Raw genomic sequence first — 13,692 nt, 5'->3', positions numbered from 1 at the left:
TACAATGTGTAGCAGAAAAGTCAGGCACAAATAAATCCTTACTTAAATGCAGCAGTTTTCCTTATCATTTTCCATTAACTCTACGTCTCACATTTCAAAGGACTTATGATGAAATGAAAAGTTTAAAGCCATATGAGTAACCGTAAGTCCTGAGTTTAAGTAAGCAGCTGGACGTTAGTTTGTTCAAGAGTAAAATGACAGCAGTAGAATAAAAAAGTCTCCAAATGTGTTTCTTAGAACCAAACATGGGTCCCATGTCCCACTTTCTATACCAGAGCTGCTCTACTTCTATCTGCTTTGCATATTGAGTTAGACCTTGAAAGCGTTCTCTGCCCAAAACAGAAAGCATAGTTTAAAACACACTAGGCAAAATAAAGAGCCCTCATATTTTAAGATACTATAATTTTTAACGTGCAATGGGTTTTTCCATTTTTCCCTATAAGAAATGTTCACACATTTTTCTAAAATACTTACAATTTCTCAAATTTGAAAGCAAAACTAAAATTGTGGATGAGTCCTAGGAATTCTTTTGTTGGGGCCATGAATTTTTTGTGAGTAATTCATACATGGATAGGAAGAAAGCCTATAGCCCATATGAAATGAATTCATTTTACTATTTAGTGAGTAGTGCCAGAATTAAAGAAGTTTACTAGTAATTATTTTCAACTTTTAAAATCCTTTATGATCATACAGAAGTTGATAATTTAAAACTATAGTTAACATTTACCTGTCAGTCATCACCAAAAGCAGAAGCTTTATAAAACTTCTTTCAATAAAGAAAATGCTTAAAGACTGTAGATCAGTGTCAGATTAAGGACATATACTAATAATTGTAGTATATTGCTAAGGTCCACAGTAAATATTCTAGTGAAAATACTAATGACACACATATCTAAATCAAAAGCCATTTTGATTAGAAATCTAAATAGATAATTAATTGTGTTATAAGCTTTTATGCCTATAATGAATAATGTTATAGTTATAAAAATATTTTATAATAACAATTATGCATGTTCAATAAAGTATATATATATGTACATAAAATGTGTATATTAGATGATTGGATGCTTTATACCTCATAACACAGACTTTTCATGCAATATGAAAAATCAACTGTGCTGGAATCATACCAAGTCCAAACAATGCACACTGTGTAGATTGCACCCTGAGAACTATGAAAAGTAAGCATGCTGTTCTTTCAATGTCAAAGTAGTCATTAACGTACCATGATGAAGAATCATTATCTGTGCCAAAATTCCTGAACACAAATTACTGGTTTGATTACAAACCAAAGCAATAATAAATGCTACAGGAAAAACTAAGAATTTCTGACCAAAAATAATACTAAATAAACATTTATTTAGCAAGTCAGATTTTACTTAAAATATTAATGTTTTAGAACAGTGGCAATGTTTCAAAGGAAAAGAATCCGCTTAAACTAAGTGAATTTAAGCTTTACATTTCACTTTTATAATTAGAGTAGCCCTGTAATTTATTTTCAAATCACAACACTTTTTAGAGAGAATAGTACTAATAATAATCACTGGATGACTGCAGGCATAAACTGGGAGTACTCCAGACAAAGTGGATCGTATGGTTATCTTACTTGCAATTGAAAAAAAATCCAAATATTCTTCTGTCTACTAATATTTTTTCTTTTCTTACTTTTAAATATGAAAGTCTACATATCTCATTGTACGTATACGGAGAGAAAGACTGTTTTTAATATCTACTCTAAATAAATTCCAGTTTTATTATGCCTCTGTGTGGCCAGAAGTCACAGCAAATTCACTGTCACACATTCAGTGGCAAAAAAATAATTTCATCTAGAGGAAAATACAGATCTCTTCGTTGTATAAAAAAGACGGCTAAAAATTAGCAAATGGAAAAACTCAGAGGATCAATTTTATCACAAAAGATAGCCATCATTAGCATGTTTATTTGAATATTGCCCAAAGCAACTGATAACTCAATGCAGTGAACAATGCTAAAAAATATATCTTCTAGCGTCTCAATATTTATGTTTGCTTCCAAAGACAAGCTCACAAAAATTAGATTTCATATTGAACTCAGTACTTGATTTTTTTACTAATGACAAAAGCATTTATCTTTGTGTCCTGATTAAATAATTTCACTTGAGAGAGAGTTTACAATGAGAAAACTTGATAACAAAAAATTAAACTAAAGTGGCATTTCATCAAAACCTATCAAGTGAGTCAAGTGAGTTTATGCAGGATGCAGACACATGTTTTCTTTTTGCTAGACGTCCAGTTGTTTCATTTTAGCTGTAAAAGAACAGAGAATCCTGCTTCATGCACTAAAATGGTACTCAAGAACCATACAATAAGAGAATAAGCTAAACACTTTCAGTATGAAAATAAGGTTTGTGCTATATGGTTTCCAACAAAAAGTTAGTCTAAAATATTTTAATAATTATTACTCATAGATAAATTTCATTTAATCATTAGTTAATTAATTCACTTAAGAATCTATATTAATCTCCACTTTGGGGACTTATGACACATACAGTATTATTGGTTGGTTTAAAAATCTTTCCTCCTTTAACAAGTTGAACTTGGAAATGTTTCTGGAGCAGTTGTTATGGAAGATTTTCATCATTTAATGTTTTATTGCTAATATGTCATAGAAGTCAACTGCCTCACCATCTAAAATCCTAATGAAAGTTGAGTTGCAGATTTGGGGATAAGATTAGCTACCGAACAAAAGTCTTAGTTTAAAAACTACTTGAAAAGGCCCCCTTTTAATAATACATTGTCTACAAATGATGCATAGTACTATTCTAGTAATCCCTACTAGAAAGCAATTCAGAATAAAATATCTAATTGTCCAAATTGATGGCTTTTTTCTATCAATTTAAAGATCATTGTTAATGTCACAATACAAATATTGAATATTCCATGTCAACTAGTCCAAACAATTAAATGATTACTATTCATGTACTAATAACCAAAACTGTTCTTTCCAGAGGTGATAGTTATATAATTGATGCTTAAGAAGATCACAGATGTCTAATTGAAAGGTCCATTATTCAGAAAAAAAATCTAAATTCTTGCATATGAGATCTTTTGATGACATATTCAGGCCATTCTTCTTCCATGATTTTTTTCTTCAAGAATAATTTTTTAGTCTATACTAAAGTGGAAAGTCTTTACTTTCCACTTTAGTGTTAATTAAAATGTTAATACCTATGCAGGATGCATAGGCATTTATATTGTTTAAAAGAATATAAGCAGAATAAAAGGTTTAAAAGACCCTTGTATCTAAAGTGAACACAAAAAATAACCAAAAAATTAAAATATGTGGAAGCATAAAATTCATATACTTATTTTTTCACTCATCATACTTCTAAAACAATAACTATTTGCAGAACTTTTTGATTGACCTTAAAAGTAAATCAAGTAGCTGATGGGACATTTATGAAGATGCATAGATGTATTTGTGGTATAAGGGCAAATGATTTTTAAAGACTAATAAGAACATATAAAGGCCGAGATTTTTTTCCCCTAAAGCAAGATAAATTACTTATCGAGTAATTGGTAGTTTGGGATAGTTTTAGATAATAATCAATATAAGTTAAACCATACTGGTCGTATAGAAGCATTAAAAACTTCATAATCTTATGTTTAAGAGCAGCAGCATAAAAGTCCAGATTTTAATGAGAGCTTTAAAGGCTCTTACTGAAATTATAGGCATGCCAACAATAAAAGAAACTTGAAGCCAAAGCAAGTACACAGTGATAGGGATGCACACAATTCCCTCAAAAAATAGTTATTTTCAGATTTTTAAATTAATACTTTAAAACCAATTCCTTACTATGCTGTTAATAGCATAATTTCTATACCTAAACCCTAATATTAATACATTTACACACAAATTCTTGGCATTAAAAAAAAAGATGGAACTAAAACAAGGAAAAGGTTTATAAAGGATGAGTACAAATCCTAAAACTCTGGTAGCTTCAGGTCATGGAAATTTTTAGAAAGCAATACTTGCTTTTTAATTTAAATATAACATAAAATATATATTTTTATGATAAATTATAGACACTAAAGTGATGTATCACTTTAAAAAAGGAAAACAGCATCTTAAAATACAGATATCCAATTTAGAATATCCTAACATTTCATATACTGTTTGATGTTTTTAATTTGTCTCAAGATAAAATATAAACAAAATCCAATTAGTTTATTGAACAGAACTGGATTGAGGAAAGAAAGTGAAATTTTATAAGAAATAGATATGTTATCCCATTTTCAAAGTAAAGGTTATAAATATATTTATCATCAGTAAACATTTTAAATGCCAACAAATTTTAAAAGCCTTTTTTTCATTTGCTAAATTAAAATACATATTGTATAACCGGTATTTTTTTAATCTCCAAAATAGGATGCCTCACATTGTTCAGAGATACTAAGAAGAAGAGACAAGTAAAACCACTCAATATTTTATGCACTATTAGTTCCCCATCGGTTTCCAGAAGGTTTCAGTGCATTGCCATGTTCACAGAATTTCTTTCTCAGTCTTCTCCACATATATTTAGTTAAATGGGGTCTTTTTTTTACTAAGCATGTAACATGAGAAATTCTCAAAAGCCAAACAACTTAAATGAGGAAAGAACTGGATGATAAAACTGCATTCCAAAAACATTCTTTAATAGAATATCTTTTAGTGTAAGCCAGAGAAACCATCTGAGAGATATGTTCATAATTTAACAGCCTTCACCATAGAAAAATGATCAGGTTGAAAAAGCAATAGGAATTTATAACAAAGAATCCTGCCAAATTAGCTGACCTAATGCAAAGCATTATTCGCGGTTCCACAATATATCTTGTTTAAAAGTGATTATTGAGCTACCCAGCATAGAGAAATGTCTTAAACCTAGAAAACATCTTCCACATGTTTTACAGGAGCTAATTCACATTTTCAAACAAATCACATATGATTATATAGCCCCATCCTTATATATGCAATGTAATCACTGCCATGATCACAAAGAAAACATCTATCGGGCATTTTTAAGTCATTTTATGTATCTAGAAAACAAAATAATGAAACAGCCTGATATCTGTATTACGTTTCAGAGGTCAAGCTAGTTAAATTTAAGATGCTTTTTCTGGTTGAAGTAAGCTTATTTTCCTTCTTAAAATCAAATTAAGAATGCTATATAAAATTTTATATTTACAGTAAACAGATAACACCTTTATAACACTAGCACTTCAATACAAAACAATTTTTACTGGCATATAAGATTATTCTGAAAATAACAATATTAAAAGAAAATATAGTTTGGCTCTACTCACCTTGCATTGTTCAGTGTTTGTCCAAAAAGCTCATTTTGTAAGATATTTGGTGGGGATGAAAAAACCCCATGAAAATGAGATAAAACAGAATTGCAGACCTGGCGCAATGTCTCAAATTGCATTTTCTTTCTTTTTTTTTCCCCTTCTCTTATTTTTCCCTACCACCTGTCTTTAAAATCATCTATTTGCTGACACCATCAAATAAAAACACGCCAATCAAGTTCCATATTTCTCCTGAGCTCTGTAAAAACTGTGCTTAAATGAACAGAGGTTGATAGTTAATTGTACAGTCATTATTCTTCTAATTCAGTCGTAGAAGATTCAGTACCCGTGCAGCTTTCGGCTTTCTCCTGACTGTAGCAAGAATTCTAAACAGCAGTAAGCTTTTTGGGCATTCCCAGCTGAAGTGTGAAGCTGAGCTGCTTTCATGTACTCTACTCATATTTCTCTAAGCCTATTAAAAACATGCAATGAATAGATGCTGTCGTCAGGAGTTTTAGCACATCTGGCTGCCAGCAATAAAATATCAGAAGTAATAAAAATGGGGACAAGGTATCTTCTCAATGCTACTACTGGGTAAGAGTAAGAGAAATTATGCATTTCCCCAACCCTTTTCTCTTTTCCTGAAAAACAACTCCAGCAACAGCATATATCTCTTCAATGTGCAAGATGCTGCAAAGGACCAGAACACTCTAAAAATAAGTGGTATATTCTTCTTTTGATGTCATGAAGCAATAAAAATATGATCAACAATAGAGCATTTATCATCTGCATTTAAAATGCCATATTTCTAAGAGAAGTACATTTGGAAAACATGTACTTAGGTGTTTTAATTTCTTATTTTAAAATTTCTCCATTTATTTATTTTTAAAGAAAAGTGGATAATGTTGAATCTGGTCCTTTCTAAAGGCTATATACATAGTGACTACATGGTTATTCACATAATTTTAGAAAAACATTATAGCTTTTCAATTAAAATTCACCTAAACACCACACATTAAATTAAAACTTCCCTCCAAATCCAGGTGGGGGAAAAACCCTACAGTCAAGGCCAGAGACACTTTATCAATTATTACTAATTTATTTCAATAATGGTGGTCATAGCATTTTGTAGAAGAAAATGTTTCCTGAAGGCTCCTATGGTCTTGGAAAGCCACCCCATCATCATCTATTCTCAGTGAATAATTCTGTTTCTGATAAACATTTAGGTTATTCTATACCCAAGTACATCCATCTTTCCATAACAGATCTCTAAAACTAGTGTGTAAACCAAATTTTAAATATTAACTCACTTGCAGAGATGCTTAGTATTTTCATTGACTTTTAATAGCTCTTAACCTTTGACATTTCTTTAATAAATCCAGCCCTTTTTGCCCTTTTGACCTTAACTCTTTGCCCTTTTATCCCTTTCCATACACTATCAGTAAATAGACATTTAAATACATTAAGTTTTTAAAAGCTATGAATTCTTTTTTGGCATAATCATGTCACAAAAGAACAACACAAATTAAACATGTAATAATATAAATTTTTAAACAACCATTTTTTAAAATAAGATGTTCAATTATGGGTTTCTTCTCAACTAAGAGTGCCCCCATTTTATTTCAGTTTATTATTTTATTTTATTATTTCACTATTATTTATTATTTCAGATTTTCATAGGTATACACCAATCTATTTGTCAAACACACATACATACCTAAAAATCATAAAGTATTTTTAGTTTATAAAGCACTTCTAAATTTATTTTTTAATATCCAGAAAACACTGTATGTGCTAATGCCACCATCATTTTATGGATGAAAAGAAACTGATGCTTTATTTATTTATTTTTAAATTAATTAATTATTTATTTTTTTGGAGACAGAGTCTCACTCATTGTCACCCAGGCTGAAGTGTAGTGGTGCTCACTGCAACGTCTGCCTCCCAGGTTCAAGCAATTCTGCCTCAGCCTCCTGAGTAGCTGGGATTACAGGAGTGTGCCACCACGCCCAGCTAATTTTGTATTTTTAGTGGAGACAGGGTTTCACCATACTGGCCAGGCTGGTCTCAAACTCCTGACCGCAAGTGATCCACCCAGCTTGGCCTCCCAAAGTGCTGGGATTACAGGCGTGAGCCACTGCGCCTGGCCTGAAGCTGTATTGAATTAAACATCACACAATTTATAAAAGATAGAAAAAATATTTTGATTTTCCTGTTGCTTTTGTCTTTGCTTTGGACTCCATTTTCTATGTTCCTTCCCTGTGATTCTATTTTTTTACATATGTGCATACATGTGCACATGCACACACACACACAAATGCACACCTATTGTAAAATGGCCAATTTCAATAGATGAATAGGAAAACTACCTGCCAGTGGCCTAATCAAGGGTATTTTAGTTAGAGCAAATATCTCAAATGTTTTAACTCGCAAGTAACTTTAAATGGGCTTCTTCCATTTACCTCAAGCAGAAGCAACCTGAGGTGCTTTAATTTTTAAGCCTCTGATTATGAGTTGATTTTTCACACCTTTGAAAGGTCAATTTCTACAAGTGTAAACAAACATTTTTAAATTTCTTATTTTCAAGTCAATTTCACAGCTCATACTATCTGTGAGGGGAAAAAATGTAAATTTTCCCCTTTTAAATAGATTTAATTTTTATAAATAATCAGAACCCCTTTAGAAACAAGTCTACTAAGTAAGAAGGTGATTATACTGCAAATCAACATTTACTGTTAAAAAGGTTTCTTTTATATTTCAAAATTGGATATGAAGACTAAGTCATAGAAAAAGCATCGAAGTGGTCTAAGTAATGGAAACACTAGAATGAGACTTAAAAATGACTCATTTGAAAGAGTCAACGATACATCAACTGCCTTCCTCAGAGACTTATTTTTCCAGCTCTCACTATACTACACCCATGCTAGTGAGCAGCTTTCTTCTAGTTCCCTCAGTATCCCAGAAATGATCTCTTCCACCTTCCCTCTCCATTACCACCCTTTCACCTGCCCCTACTCATCCTTAAGGTTTCAAATGTCCCTCCTTTAGAAAGACTTTGTCTGACCTAAATTAGGTCCCCTATTATACATTCTCATTATACCCTGTGCTTATTCTTCACAACATTTGATATATGTGACCATATATTTACTTGAAAAAATGTTTAATATCTTTCACCCTCAATTCCATGAGGTTAAGTCCTGCATTCTTGTCTCATTCATCTAGCATAGTGCCTAGTACAGGGTAGGCGGTTCATTAAACATTTGTTGAATAAATGGATGCCTACATGTTATCAAAAAGTTAATTCTTTTTCAATCACTTACATAGACAGGATAGGAAACCGCCACAGGACTTCATCTGGTTCTCAGTTTCTACAGTGTTTATTTTATTTATTTATTTTTTTGCTTGTTTATTTTTAGCCTGCCACATCATCTTCTATAAGGGTCATAAATACAAGAGTAACCAATATTTGCAATCAAAAACATTGTGCTTTGAATGGACTCTGTAATTTGTTATGGATATCCTGAATATTATAAAGAATGTTTATAGATAACGTGTGTTTTAAATTTTCAATATAGTGCAGGTTCACATGTAACATAAATATTGGAGACTTCTGTCAGAACAGAAAGAACATGGTATTTGGCATCGGGCAGCCTGGTTTTAAGTACTGACTCCAACCCAAACTAGCTGTATTACCTCAGCATATTTACTTTATGTATCTGAGCTATGGTTTTACCAAATGTAAAATAAGCTATATCACCTCATAGGGAAATTACTGTATTAAAATCTCATGTGTACCAATGCATTTTATAAATTATAAAGTATACAGTGTTTGGAAGTAAACTCAGTATGAACTATTTAAGGAATCAAATTACTGGTACCTGAATTCTAACAATTATGTTCATGTATCTTTTATTTATCATGCTTATTCATTTGACAAATATTTATATTTTCTTTGTCCAAGTCTCTATCCTTCTATCTGTTAGTGCTGATAGGATGTAGGGCTTATGATTATCCTTTTCCAGAAAAATTAGATAAACTCAAAAGAACTTCCAAGCAAGATCAGCTCCATATTTACATTGAGTCCAGCAGAGAGACATTAACTATTACAAATGGTATAGATGATGGCAATTGGTTTCTCTATTTATGTTCTATTAGAATCTTTAGAGTCTCACTGGAAATGACAGTGATAATAAGAGTTCTAACAGAAGAAGTGTTAAGGAACTTTTGGAAGCAAAGGCAATTTCGTGACAGAAAATATCTAAAAAACTAATCAACACTTGAATAAGTTCAATCTAAAAGTAATCAAAAGAATGCAAATAAAAATAATAAGATAATGTATTTTGCCTATTAAATTGGCAAAATATTGACCAGAGGATCAAAAAACGCACAGTCTCATACCATGTTTATTGGTAGGAGTGTACATTGGTACAACATTTTGAGAAATATTTAGTAGTATATCTCAGGTTTTTAAATGTTCAAAATCTGAGAGCACACTGGAACAATACAAACCAAAATGATAATATTGATTATCTCTGGGTAAGAACATGACAAATTTTTTCCATTTATACTTTTTGATACACTAGCCACAAGTAAAGCTCAAAATTTAATTTTCAAACAGTGGAGAACTCTAAAATTATAACAATCTTTAACCATCACATATTAAGTATAATGTTGGCCCATGAACTTTTCTTTAGCAATGCTCAAGTAAATAAAATAGTAGATTATTAGTTTTCATGTGATTAGCTATATCATTAGCAATGGTTTCTCCCCTTCTATATCAGTATAGATATAGATATTTTGAGACAGAATCTTGCTCTGTCACCCAGGTGTAACTCCGAACTCCTGGGTTCAACTGATCCTCTCACTTCAGCCTCCCATGTAGCTAGGACTATAGGTGTGCACCATCATGCCTGAATAATTTTTGATTTTCTTGTAGAGATGGAGGGGGTCTCACTATGTTTCCCAGGCTAGTCTTGAACTCCTGGCCTCAATCAATCCTCCCTCCTCAGCCTCCCAAAGTGCTAGGATTACAGGTGTGGGCCACTGTGCCTGACTTCTCCTTCTTAAACAGTAATTCCTAAAATTCTGTAATAATTCAAATTGTTTAATTAGTACTATGAAACATCCAAATGACAAGAGCAACCAAAACTCAGCACTAACTTCTTTACATCATCCTCAAAAATTTTTGAAGTGTAAATTCTTTCTTTTTAAGTTTTTTTTTTTTAGTTTTTTTAACTTTTATTTTAAGTTTAGGGGTACATGTGCAGGTATGTTACATAGGTAAATTTGTGTCATGGAGGTTTTCAAACAGTTGTACAGATTATTTCATCATCCAGATATCACGCATAGTACTTATTAGTTATTACTCCTGTACCTCTCCCTCCTCCTATCCTCCACCCTCCAATGGGCCACAGTGTCTGTTGTTCCCCTCTATGTGTCCACGTGTTCTCATCATGTAGCTCCCATTTATAAGTGAGAACATATAGTATTTGGTTTTCTGTTCCTGTATCAGTTTGCTATGAATAATGACCTCTAGCTCCATCCATGTCCCTGCAAAAAAACATAATCTTGTTCTTTTTTATGGCGCATAGTATTCCATGGCGTATATTTACCACATTTTTTTATGCAGTCTACCATTGATGGGCATTTAGATTGATGCAATGTCTTTACTATTGTTAGTAGTGCTGCAATGAACATACGAGTGCATGTTTCTTTTTTTATCCCATTACTGGGTATACACCCAAAGGATTATAAATCATGCTGCTATAAAGACACATGCACACATATATTTATTGCGGCACTATTCACAATAGCAAAGACCTGGAACCAACCCAACTGTCCAACAATGATAGACTGGATTAAGAAAATATGGCACATATACACCATGGAATACTATGCAGCCATAAAAAAGGATGAGTTCATGTCCTTTGTAGGGACATGGATGAAGCTGGAAACCATCATTCTCAGCAAACTATTGCAAGGACAGAAAACCAAACACTGCATGCTCCCACTCATAGATGGGACTTGAACAACGAGAGCACTTGGACACAGGGTGGGGGAACATCACACACTGGGGCCTGTCGTGGGGTGGGAGAGGCGGGAGAGATAGCATTAGGAGATACACCTAATGTAAATGACGAGTTAATGGGTGCAGCACACCAACATGGCACATGTATACATGTGTAACAAACCTGCACGTTGTGCACATGTACCCTAGAACTTAAAGTATAATAAAGAAAGAAAGAAAGAAAGAAAGAAGTGTAAATTCTTAAAATTATTTAAGAACCTTGGTTTATAAATGCCTAGTGGCTAAGCTAAATGTCTTAAGAAAATTAACACAAACTCAAAAATTAAATGAAAGAATCAAAATTGGAAAGTTATGCTCGTCTGAATTAATAACAACACAAGCCTCTAACCTGATAAGCCATGATAATTCATGACATACTTAGATTTTACAGGCTAGGTTTAGTTTTCATTTTTAAGAGTACCAAAGCATTTCTATTAAAATATTCCATACATGAAAATAAACATATAACTAAACAAAGCTAATGAATCATTAAAATCATAAGATACACAATATGTATCATCTATAACAAAAATCCCTGAAATGCTAAAGGAATTCTTCCTTTTCTTAAAATTTATATCTGTAGTCCCATCTATATAATTGAAACAACTGCATTCTCTCTTCCATTGCATTATTCTTGTTCTACTGACTACTTGAAGCATCCGACTGATAAAAATCTAAAGGCTATAAGAAAGACAGTCCAGAGAACAAACATTTTGAAAATAGTATCTTCATGTATTTTGCAAATTAAAGTACTCTGTTGTAAAGTATTCTATATTTCCCTGAGGCACGGATCATAGAACAATTCACCTCAGGGATAACATATAAGCAAAAAATAAAAGGCAGATGATGGAATTCCTAACAAAAGGAGGAAGAAGAAGGCATTCAAAAAAGGTAATTTGGGCCTGGCATGGTGGCTAATGCCTGTTATCACAACACTTTGGGAGGCCAAGGCAGGCAGATCACCTGAGGTCAGGAGTTTGAGACCAGCCTGGCCAACATGATGAAACCTCGCCTCTACTAAAAATACAAAAATTAGCCAGGTGTAGTGGTACGCGCCTGTAATCCCAGCTACTCGGGAAGCTGAGGCAGGAGAATCGCTTGAACCCAAGAGGCGGAGGTATATACCAAGATCGCACAGTGTGCGGGGATTGCACAGTGAGCCAAGATCGTGCCATTGCACTCAAGCCTGGGGGACAAGGGTGAAACTCTGTCTCAAAAACAACAACAAAAAAAAAAAAAAAAAAAAAAACAAGGTAATAAGGTAATAATTTGACCTATGCTTCAACTTAGGATGAACCATACAATACATTCAGGAATGGAAGAAAGGAAGAACAGCCTGGAGCTAAATAAGCACACTACAAATCTAAAGATGACGAGTACATTTCTACTCACAAAATTTGAGATAAAAATCAGAAAACAGTTCAGAATTGTTACATCAGTTTTCATAAGTTTTAAAAATTTGTTGATGGCCAGCTGAAAAAAAACATGCTGTTTTCTGATGTACAAAAACATTTTATAGCATTTCTTAGGGACTGAAACCCTGTATCTATCCATAATTCTGACCATTGCTGCAGAACAGACTAATAACACAACAGTTTATGGCATCTAATTCAAAAAAGAAAGGGAAAGCATGGTGGAAGCCACCACAAATGTGTGAAGCCACACCATAATTGTGATCTCTCTCACTCTTCTTTCTAAGCCAGAAGTGTAAGGGCTAATCCTACTGTGCTTTGGTTTGAGTGGCATTATTCTCAAAAGTATTACTAGGTTGCTTTAATAATCCAGTGCAAAAGCAGGTTTTGCAAGAGCAGTTCCCACACCTAAAACCTCGCAACAGCTGGGTGTGGTGGCCCACGCCTGTAATCCTAGAACTCTGGGAGGCCGAGGTGGGTGCATCACCTGAGGCCAGGAGTTTGAGACCAGCCTGGCCAACATGGTGAAACCCCGTCTCTATTAAAAATGCAAAAAATTAGCCAGATGTAGCGGCGGGTGCCTGTAATCCCAGCTACTCGGGAGGCTGAGGCAGGAGAATCACTTGAACCCAGGAGGCAGAGGTTGCAGTGAGCCAAGATCACGCCACTGCACTCCAGCCTGGGTGACAGAGTGAGACTCCGACTCAAAAATAAATTAATTAATTTAATTAAATAAAAATAAAAGCTGGCAACAGCAGAAATATATTTCTTGTTGAATACAAGAGTTAGTTATAGAGTACCAAACCTAGATTTAAGCTCCACAATGAGAATGTCCAGAGTGACACCTGAAGATTCTACCAATTAAAAGAAAGAGGACCAAGATCCCTGAAAAAAAAATTTGGAAAATCCT

At 33.2% G+C, this 13,692-nt stretch overlaps 1 protein-coding gene across 64 annotated transcripts in view; it reads right to left on the bottom strand.

Moving 5' to 3' along the window:
• The window catches only part of RIMS2 (regulating synaptic membrane exocytosis 2), a 755,485-nt gene that overhangs the window by 431,144 nt on the left and 310,649 nt on the right, over nucleotides 1-13,692 (bottom strand). For 17 of the 64 annotated variants that reach the window (NR_145711.2, NM_001348507.2, NM_001348504.2 and 14 more), the window contains exon 1: nucleotides 5,322-5,731. The exons of the other annotated variants lie outside the window; for them this stretch is intronic. Coding sequence is in view for 16 of the 17 variants with exons in the window: in NM_001348507.2 (NP_001335436.1) it covers nucleotides 5,322-5,443 (122 nt within the window). In the remaining variant the exon portion in view is untranslated. Of the gene's footprint in view, nucleotides 1-5,321; nucleotides 5,732-13,692 lie in introns of those variants that run through there. 64 annotated transcript variants of the gene reach the window in all.

This window comes from Homo sapiens, chromosome 8 (genome assembly GCF_000001405.40).
Source record: "Homo sapiens chromosome 8, GRCh38.p14 Primary Assembly".
NCBI lineage: Eukaryota > Metazoa > Chordata > Mammalia > Primates > Hominidae > Homo > Homo sapiens.
Note: the sequence above shows the minus strand (reverse complement) of the source record. Positions and strands in the feature narration are given on the sequence as shown.